This window comes from Homo sapiens, chromosome 10 (genome assembly GCF_000001405.40).
Source record: "Homo sapiens chromosome 10, GRCh38.p14 Primary Assembly".
NCBI classification, from domain to species: domain Eukaryota; kingdom Metazoa; phylum Chordata; class Mammalia; order Primates; family Hominidae; genus Homo; species Homo sapiens.
This window is the reverse complement of record NC_000010.11, coordinates 46618274-46628944: the sequence shown is the minus strand read 5'-3', so window position 1 is coordinate 46628944 and position 10671 is coordinate 46618274. Positions and strand designations below refer to the sequence as shown.

General features: G+C 38.4%; 1 pseudogene across 1 annotated transcript in view; it reads left to right on the top strand.

Moving 5' to 3' along the window:
- The window catches only part of SHLD2P1 (shieldin complex subunit 2 pseudogene 1), a 41505-nt pseudogene that overhangs the window by 23032 nt on the left and 7802 nt on the right, over positions 1 to 10671 (top strand). Inside the window, exon 5 of the transcript NR_027632.1 lies at positions 7111 to 7339. The product of NR_027632.1 is annotated as a shieldin complex subunit 2 pseudogene 1 (transcript). The remainder of the gene's footprint in view (positions 1 to 7110; positions 7340 to 10671) is intronic.

The window sequence follows — 10671 nt, the reverse complement described above, 5'->3', positions numbered from 1 at the left end:
TTTTAAAAACTTTTATTATAAAAGCCTTCAAGCATATACAAAAGTAGAGAGAATACTAAGCATAAGGCACTTTTTTTTTTTGTTTGTTTGAGACAGAGTTTCATTCTTGTCACCCAGGCTGGAATGTAGTGGCATGATCTCTGCTCACTGCAACCTCCACCTCCTGGGTTCAAGTTATTCTCCTGCCTCAGCCTCCCAAGTAACTGGAATTACAGGCATGTGCCATCATGCCCAGCTTATTTTTGTATTTTTAGTAGAGACGAGGTTTCACCATGTTGGCCAGGCTGGTCTCAAACTCCTGATCTCAGGTGATTCACCCGCCTCAGCCTCCCAAAGTGCTGGGATTATAGGCATGAGCCAGCCACCGCACCCGGCCAGCATAATGAACTTCGGTACCTATTAGCCAGCTTATTAAAACATGGTCAGTCTTGTTTCACCTGTTACCTCCCTCATCTTTACTGTTTAAATATTTCACAATAAATGTATTTTATTTTATAATTAAAAATAAAATTAAAACCTTATGCTTTTTAAAATAAAAGAATAGTTAATGTTTGGAAAATCTAGCTAACAATGTGAGAAAAAATAGAATTAAATTTATACTTTATATTTGTGCCAATATAAATTTCAGATACATTAGAGATTCAAATACAAAAATAATGAAACAATGAATAGTAGAAGAAAATATAGGCAAAATTATTTGTAATGCAAAGGTTGGTAGGGTAAATAAAATCCAGGAACAAAAACTATTATACATAAAAACCACCATGTACAAAATTGAAAGGCAACAAAAAAAAAACAGAAAAAAAATTACATTGTCAGACAATAATGCAGTAAGCAAAAGACACATATCTATAGAGTTAAATGGGGAAAGGATATGAGTAGGCAAGTCCCCAAAGAAGAAATAAAAATGGCCAATAAATATATGGAAAAATTGTTCTTACAAGTAATTGAAAACACACAAAGTAATGATGATAGATTATTTTTCTTTTAAGAAATTGATTGAGAAGATATGGGAAAACAGCTACTGTCATCAGCTATTGGAAATGCAAACTGGCAGAACCTTTCTTGAGGATAACTGACAATTAATATGAACAAATTGGGGGTACTTTTAGCCCAATAATTTTAGCTCTAGGAACTTATCATAACTATGTATAAAGATGTAGCTGAAAATGGGTTTATCATGGTATCATGTATAATTGTGAAAAATAAAAAACAACCAGAGTCCCTCAAAATAGAGGTTTGCTGTAATAATTTTTAAGATTTTGGTGTATCTGGACAATGGCATATTATGTAATATTTAAAAGCAATGTAGAATAATACATACATATAAAACTATATTTGACTTATTAAGTCAATCCCAATAAATAAAATCCCAAACAACTGGTTGTCCGCTAAAATGTTAACTGCTTATTTAGGGTGTTGAGATTATGGCTGCTATATGTTTATTTACTTGGCTTCTCTTAGCTTACTTTTCTAATCAGGTATTTTGTAATAAGACAAGAAAGCTATTTTAGTGATTGGTTTTAAGCAGTAACTTGGAATATATGCTTTAGTTCTAGCTAGTGATGTTCTGTCTTTACAGATTTACTGAGATGTTTGATGATTTTCCACCAAAAAAAAAAAAAAAATCTTTAGTGAAAGAAACTAAGGAGATGAGCAGGTGTAGTAAATTAGATTTATGGCCTGAAGTGAGAAACTAAAAAGACAGCTGATGTTATCAGAAAAATGAGTGCTAAGAAACCCTCTTTTGTTTTATTATAGTTTTGAAGTTGAATTTACTAATACAGAATATGATAATACAGATAAGTTGAATTTACTAATAGAGAATATAACAGTAACAAGGTCTGTGTTACTGTGGCTTTAAGTATTAGAATTGTGGCCGGCGCGGTGGCTCCCGCCTGTAATCCCAGCACTTTGGGAAGCCGAGGCGGGCGGATCACGAGGTCAGGAGATGGAGACCATCCTGGCTAACACAGTGAAACCCCGTCTCTACTAAAAATGCAAAAAAAATTAGCCGGGCGTGGTGGCAGGCGCCTGTAGTCCCAGCTACTCCGGAGGCTGAGGCAGGAGAATGGCTTGAACCCGGGACGTGGAGCTTGCAGTGAGCCGAGATTGCGCCACTGTGCTCCAGCCTGGGCAACAGAGCGAGACTCCGTCTCAAAAAAAAAAAAAAATTGTTACTGAGAGTTAAAAATAAGTACTATTGTGTCTAAATGCTTTTTGTTCTAGAAAAGTTAACTAAGATAACTAAAGTATTGAAATATGAGTGAAATATTAGACTTGGGTTCATTTCAGTGTCCTTTCTTTAACAAAACAAAACAAAACTTTGCCTATAGATAGATACATGAGAATTTTCTTTACAGAAAGCAGTTGGTTATTATAAATGATGACCGTTCAGGAGGGCAAGGAATCTTTAGAAAATATTTTATTAAAATTATCTCTGGTGGCCCGGCGCGGAGGCTTATGCCTGTAATCCCAGCACTGTGGGAGGCCGAGGTGGGCGGATCATGAGGTCAGGAGTTCAAGACCAGCCTGACCAACATGGCGAAACCCTGTCTCTACTAAAAATACAAAAATTAGCCGGGAGTGGTGGCACGCACCTGTAATCCCAGCTACTCAGGAGGCCGAGGCAGGAGAATCACTTGAACCTGGGAGGTGGAGGTTTCAGTGAGCCGAGATCACACCACTGCTCTCCAGCCTGGGCAACAGAGCGAGACTCTGTCTTGGAAAAAAAAAATAATAATAATAATCTCTAGCATGCTTCTGTTGTCTTAATGCACCATTCATATTTTGTCTCTGTTTACCCAAATTCTTTAGTGATAAAAGATTAGTATTCAACTGACTTAATCAGATCAATCTATTTAATCTGATACTAAGCCTAGATTTTTTTTTCCTTTTTGGTGACTTTTGTTTTTACTGTTTTTGTTTAAGGTTATATTTGGGAATTTAAATATCTTTTTGTTCAGCGCAATTACACACTAGAAAACCTAGAATTGCATACAACGCCTTGGTCATCCTGTGAGTGCTTGTTTGATGATGATATAAGGGCAATTACATTTAAAGCAAAATTTCAAAAAAGTGCACCCTCCTTTGTGAAGATATCAGACTTAGCAACCCACCTAGAGGATAAGTGTTCAGGTAAGATTTTTATATACATAAATTCTGCTATTTTTATTTCTTTTGAAACAGAGTCTTGCTCTGTTGCTCAGGCTGGAATACAGTGGTGTGAACACAGCTCACTGCAGTCTCCACCTCCCAGGTTTAAGTGATTCTCCCCGCTCAGCCTTTCGGGTAGCTGAGGAGGGAAGGGAAGGCTAGTGCATACCATCAGTGCATGCCACCACACCCAGCTATTTATTTATTTATTATTTTGGCAGAGACAGAGTCTCCCTATGTTGCCCAGTCTGGTCTCAAACTCCTGGACTCAAGTGATCCTCTTGCCTTGGACTCCCAAAGTGCTGGAATTACAGGCATGAGCCACCACACCCAGCCCACTGCTAGTTTTAATATAAGCAAAAAGGCTACCACTTGTGGTAAAAATGTATAAGTCTATATAAAAGTGAAATATAAATCTTTGCAAATATCTGAACTAGATTCCAGTAGTTTTAGGAACTATGTGCTAGGAACCAGGGACAAAGAGCAAATACCTATTTTTTATTATATGACAAGTGGGAGCAGAAATTCAGATCCTTACTTTATCTTGGCCAAATGCCAGATTAAAATGTTACTAGTTGGGTTAATTCACATATATGTGTAAATATGTTTTCCAATATATGATTGAAGGTTAGCATTGTTATATCATAAAACTATGCTAAGGAGAATACAGGCAGAAAACAAAGACAATACCTCTCAAAAAACCCAACTTTTAATTGAATACAGAGATTTCATTCTCAGAGAAGAACTCCTTATTCTTAGTTCTACACTGAAACATTTACTAATACCAGCAGATAGTTTAAATTAATAATATTTCTGGAAGGTAAACACAGATGATAGAAAATTTATAAGCTTTTATACTATAAAAATTTCATACTATTTTCAAAAATGGAAGTTGCCTATGGTCATAAAAGACTCTAGATTTATACTAACTGGTAAAATCTTGGTAATGTTATAGCATCATGTAAGTTCCTAAGCCAGTTTTATATTTATGTGCCCCTCCCGTGCTCTGCTTCTCCAACTTCACAGACATATAGAGGTGGTCACCACAGGAAGGAATGCCAGACACAGTTGAGGGGCTACCTTACTTTGCAGAGACGTTTAGTTTGGTGCCATGGAGAAGTCAACTCTGTTATTTACTGCTTACACAAAACAGTTATCTGCTGGGATTGAAGTCTAGAATTAGGTTTAAAAATAAAAATAAATAACATCATGGACAACAACAAAATAGGAGGCCACCACGCTGATGATGAAAGATTCTCAGGCTATAGCCCCACTTGTTTGAGGACGCAGCCAGGAATTGTGCATGTTCTTGGAAGTCCTGGAGGTGTGCTCCTCATTAGCAAGCCATGCCAAAACTGTGCCATTAAAATCAGTCCTTCAGAGGCTTTGTTCACAGAGGCCTGTTTAGCCTTTTTCATTCTCTTTATGTTCAGCTATGAGGGCTGAATTCATAGTTTCTGTCATAGTGTATGTGTTTTTAAGACAAAAATGGAGAGAGAATATGAAAACACAAGCAACTTTTCCCTAACCTATTTTATAGTTAAATAAAAGGAGAAAGAGAGATCAGCATGGGAGCATTTCCTAGAAGGGTCTGCTTGCTCAACAAAAGCCAGAGGGGGATGAGGCTAGGCCTGAGTCCTTGTAAAGAAATGAAGACGCTTACCCAGTACCTCATCTTACCGCCAGCAGAATTTCAGTGCTCAGCCGGAGTGACCCCCTTGAAAGCAAAGTCCACATTCAGCGTGACCTTTTAATTCTTTTCAAGAGTTGTGTAAATTTACAAAATGATAGGATTATGTGAACATTCTTTTAAAATTATTGAATTATTACGAATTTTTTAGGCTGGGCAGGGTGGCTCATGCCTATAATTCCAGCACTTTGGGAGGCCGAGGTGGGTGGATCATTTGAGGTCAGGAGTTTGAGACCAGCCTGGCCAACGTGGTGAAACCCTGCCTCTACTAAAAATACAAAACTTAGCCAGGCATGATGTCGGGTGCCTGTAGTCCCAGCTACTTGGGAGGCTGAGGCAGGAAAATTGCTTGAACGCAGGAGGCAGAGGTTGCAGTGAGCCGAGATTGCACCACTGCAGTGCAGACTGGGTGACAGAGCAATACTCTGTCTCAAAAAAAAAAAAAAAAAAAAGACTTTTTGAGTGGAGGGAGGAGAGCAAGGGTTGAAAAACTAACTGTTGGGTACTCTGCCTACTACAGGAGACTACTTGGGTGATGATATGCCCATGTAACAAACCTGCACATCTACCCTCTGAATCTAAAATAAAAATCGAAATTTTTTTTTTACATATTTTTTTAGGCCAGACACATTGGCTCAAGCCTGTAATCCCAGCATTCTGGGAGGCCAAGAAGAGTGGATCACTTGAGCCCAGGAGTTGGAGACCAGCCTGGTCAACATGGCAAATCCCCATCTCCACAAAAAAATACAAAAATTAGCCAGGTGTGGTGGTGTGTGCCTGTAGTCCCAGCTACTCAGGAAGCTGAGGTGGGAGGATCACTTGTGCCCAGGGAGGTTGAGACTGCAGTGAGTCAAGATTGCACCACTGCACTCTAGCCTGGACGACAGAGTGAGACTGTCTCAAAACAACAAAAAATAATAATTTTGTAGTGATTTAACATGTCTTTGGAAAGATGTGGTATTGAATCTTCTACAGTTTGTTACATATTCGATCGCTACGCACTCCTGCTAACTCATGTAGGGATATGTGACACAATTGGAAGAGATGATGAAACCGTCTTTGGGCATTGAAAGACTAAAGCAAATGAAGTTAAGAACAGAAGACTCATCATTAACTGGACTCTGAAAGAGATAACCAGAAAACAGTAGGAGACTAGAGTGATTAGTTCTTGACCTGGAGTGTTCTTACTTCTAAGTGGATGAAGAAGAACAAATTTGAAGGCTTAAGGCTTAAAGAAGCCTTTAAATTGACTATGGAGAAAGGGAGAATAATGCTCAAGAAAACTCATAGACCTCACCAGTACACAGTAAGACAAAAGTAAATTAGGAAAAAATAATGTCTGGGAGATAGTAGACTTTCAGTATTTGTTTACTGGTGAATGGATGAGCCATTAGCAGTGAATTATGAATATGCTTGAGGTTTCTTGTGAGTCACCTGAGAAACGATTAATAAATGAGAACTTTTTATAACCCACAGCCAGAGTATATAGATGATAATGGTGAGCGGAAAGTTGGAAAAAAGTTTAAAAGAGAACAGGCTATTGATATTTTTACGTAGAGAGAAGAAGAAAAGTTCACCTCCTATTTGGCTTTTTTTTTTTTTTTTTTTTGAGACGGAGTCTCGCTCTTTCGCCCAGGCCGGTGTGCAGTGGTGTGATCTTGGCTCACTATAAGCTCTGCCTCCTGGGTTCAAGCCATTCTCCTGCCTCAGCCTCCCGAGTAGCTGAGACTACAGGCGCCAGCCACCGCGCCCGGCTAATTTTTTGTATTTTTAGTAGAGACAGGGTTTCACCATGTTAGCCAGGATGGTCTCGATCTCCTGACCTCGTGATCTGCCCGCGTCGGCCTCCCAAAGTGCTGGGATTACAGGTGTGAGCCACTGTGCCCGGCCCCTATCTGGCTTTTCACCATGATCAGTTTAAAAGAAGACAGGGCAAGGAGAGAGGGCATGTTAGCTAGTTTCAAGTATTCGAAGGGATTTCTTCTAAAGGAGGTATTGAACTTATTTTGCCTGATTCCAGAGGATGGGGAAGGAAGGAAACATCACATGTTCAGCCAAATTAGCCAAGTAAACCTGCTCTCAGTTGCAGCCAGACCTCCCTGCCCTTAGATTCTAGGAAAATAGTAAAGAAGACGAAGAACAAGACCTCAGTGTATCCTTTTACTACAAGTGACTGTAAATCAACTATAAAATTAGCCATGTTTGTAAATTAAAGTTATAATTTTGGCCCAATAATTTATAACATATCTGTTTGTTGTTTGTAGGAGTGGTTCTAATTAAAGCCCAGATTTCAGAGCTGGCATTTCCTCTTACAGCAGCTCAGAAGATAGCTCTAAATGCTCACAGTTCTCTGAAGAGTATTTTTTCTTCTCTTCCCAACATCATATATACTGGCTGTGCAAAATGTGGATTGGAACTAGAAACAGATGAGAACAGGATCTACAAACAATGTTTTAGCTGCTTGCCATTTACTATGAAGAAAATATATTATAGGTAAGGCAACTAAGCAAGCCAATTTGATGGAAAATAATTATTATAGATCTGGAAAAACTAGTCTGTAAACTCTTACTTTCTAAAAAGAATTAACTAGAGCTAGTCGAAGAGAACAAAATTTTCCCTGAGTGATAGATAGCTATTTATGGTAGCAAAAATTACCCAGGAATCGTTATAGGAATTTCTTAAAGATAGGAATTTCTTAAAGCAGTAATTGGGAGATTTTATTGTCTTCAAACAGCTGTACCAAAGAAACATTTTCCTTGGTTTACTTTTTAACCAAAATCTAAATGCTCATAAATAACTCATTTTCCCACCTTAACATATAATTAGAATTTAAAGGCTAAAAGTACCATATGATGTCACCTCTGAGTTGTTGTGGAAGCTAGTAAGACATTTAAGCTGTTTTCCCACCTTTACCTTAGAAATTAAAGCTAGCAAATAAATGTTATATGGTAAAACTGCTAATCAGCTCAGTGAAAAACACATTGTTTTTTGAATAATAGGTAGTCAAAAGCTCAGACATTTTTCTCTTTACCTTATAAATTACATGTGTTTACAAAATAGCACTCAGTGTTTTATGCTCCTTATGATTATTTCTAAATATTGCGGTATCTAAAAACTAAATTCAGATATATTCCACATGTTATCATGGCATACTTCAAGAAAAGTTATAGAAGCTTAATTTGTAAACCTTATTTCTCTTTACAGATATTATGTTTGTTATAAATAAGTGAATGAATTTTGCTATTACTGTGAAAGTTGCTTTTGTGGAAAAGAAGATTGAATTAAGATGTATGGTAGGCTGGGTGTGGTGGCTCATGCCTGTAATCCCAGCACTTTGGGAGGCTGTGGTGGGGGGATCGCTGGAGCCCAGGGGTTCAAGACCAGCCTGGGAAACACAGGGAAACCCCATCTCTACCAAAAAAAAAAAAAAAAAGCTGGGCATGGTGACATAGGCCTGTAGTCCCAGCTACTTGGGAGGCTGAGGCGGGAGGATTGTTTGAGCCCAGGAGATCGATTGTTACAGTGAGCTATGTTTGCACCACTGCACTCTAGCTTGTGCAACAGAGTGAGACCCTGTCTCAAAATCAAAACAAAAAATGCATGGTATGTAACAAACAACATTGATTTATTAATAGTTAAGGCCCCTCAAAAGTATGTATAGGTGACTTATTTATATCATTCCAAATGTTTCTATTCAACATAAGCATTTATTGGACAAAAATGTTGCTCAATACTATTCCTTATGGGGAGGAGGGCCTTTGAATCTTTAGTTTACAAAATGACTGTTCAAGAGAAGGACTTCACAGATCAGTATCACCTGATTATGGCATAACTAGTATGGGGTATTTAAGATCTCTTCCTAAACTATACCACATTAAAGATGTAGTGCTAGTTTGTTGTCTTACTAGAATGTTGAATGGTCATGTTAAGGCAAGAATTATTATTTTTTATTTATTTAAAAGCCTTTTTTTTTATTTTTTTGAGACAGAGTTTCGCTCTTGTTGCCCAGGCTGGAGTGCACTGGTGCGATCTCAGCTCATCGCAACCTCTGCCTCCCAGGTTCAAGTGATTCTTCTGTCTCAGCCTCCCAAGTAGCTGGGATTACAGGCATGTGCCACCACGCCTGGCTAATTTTGTATTTTTATAGAGACAGGGTTTCTCCATGTTGGTCAGGCTGGTCTCGAACTCCTGACCTCAGGTGATCCACCCGTCTCAGCCTCCCAAAGTGCTGGAATTACAGGTGTGAGCCACCAAGCCCAGCCTAAAAGCCTTTAAATTATTAGAGTCCAGATTATGTGGTTTCCTTGGAAAGAAAATATTGAAATTAACAAACTCCCTTCAAGTTATCAAGTATGTGACTCCAAAATCATCTACATAAATCAATCAGCAAACTGAATAAGAGAAAACTCTCATTGATTATTTTTCTAAGACTCAGTCAAATATTTATTAGGAATCCACGTATGTTCACATATCACATGTGTACTGTGGATGTTATACTAGTTGATCTAAGTAGACTTATTGTGCCCAAGAAGCTTGGTAGTCCATTTAAGAAACACTTAATGAACATTTGTGTGGCACAACAGTCCCAAACTATGAGTGGGTTGATCATATTTTACATTGGTTGTAACTTGGAGCTGATTTTCCAATGGAAGCAACATTAGATATTGCAATGGAGTCTCATACGAGGCCACAGACATTTATTAAATTAACATGTAGATAGCATAGTTCCTGCTCTTCAAGCTATCATAAAACTCAAATACCATTTTTAACAATGTTTCTACAGAATATTCAGATTTACATTTTTGGAATACAAGAAATACATTTATTTTTCTGTACTGGAAGCAAAAAACCCCAGCAGGTCAAACCACAATTAAGGCTCCTATTTAGGCAGCACTAGGAAATGTTTGGGTCTCTCAAGAGGTTGTAGTCAAGGTGTAGGCTGGGGCTGCAGTCATCTGAAGGCTTGACTGGGGCTGGAGGATTCATTTCCAAAGTGGCTCATTCATATGGCTGGCAAGTTGAGTTCCTCTTCACTTGGGTGTCTCCACGGGCTGCCTGAATGTTCTCACAAAGTGGCAGCTCATTTCCTCAGAGCAGGAAAGGCAAGAAAGAGAGTTCCAGGTGGAAGCCAGCCTTTTTGTGACCTAGACTCAGAAGTCATGTGGCATCACTTCTACCAAATTCTGTTCATCAGAAGTGAGTTTAGCTGTGCGTTGGAGAGTGGATTAGAATGAAGCTAGTGCAGAGAAGCGGTAAGAGGCTGTTGCCTTATTTTGGAGAGGAGATGATGGTGGCTTGACTAGAGAGGAAGCGGTAGGAATAAAAAGAAGTGGACAGATTTGAGAATGGTCAGAAAATAGTTTGCAAGATGTAGTGATTGGTAGGTAAAGAGAGAGCACAGGTACATTGCAAATCATTGACAGTTGGGTGAACAATAAGATTATTTATTAAAACAAGTAACCTTGGGAGAAATCTTGATCATATTGAGCTTGAGTTCCTGAGAGGTAACAAGTTGGAAAGTGGTTAGATGTAAAGAAATGCAATTTGCAAGAGAAGTCTGGGCTAGGCTTATAAGGTTATCTGTGGTGATTGAACTTTTCCTTGGTTTCTGCACCCTGTTTTGTTTTTCCTTCTTAATCTTCAGTGATTACCTCTCATAATGGATTATTCTTACTAGCCTATAAAGACAGTCCCATATTTCTCTTATTAAAAAACAAACAAAATCATCCATTAACATTACATCTCCCTCTTATCCCTTCGTTTTTCTATTCTGTTTTATACCCAGCCAAACTTTGTTAAAGAGTTGTAAATATACTCTCTCTCCC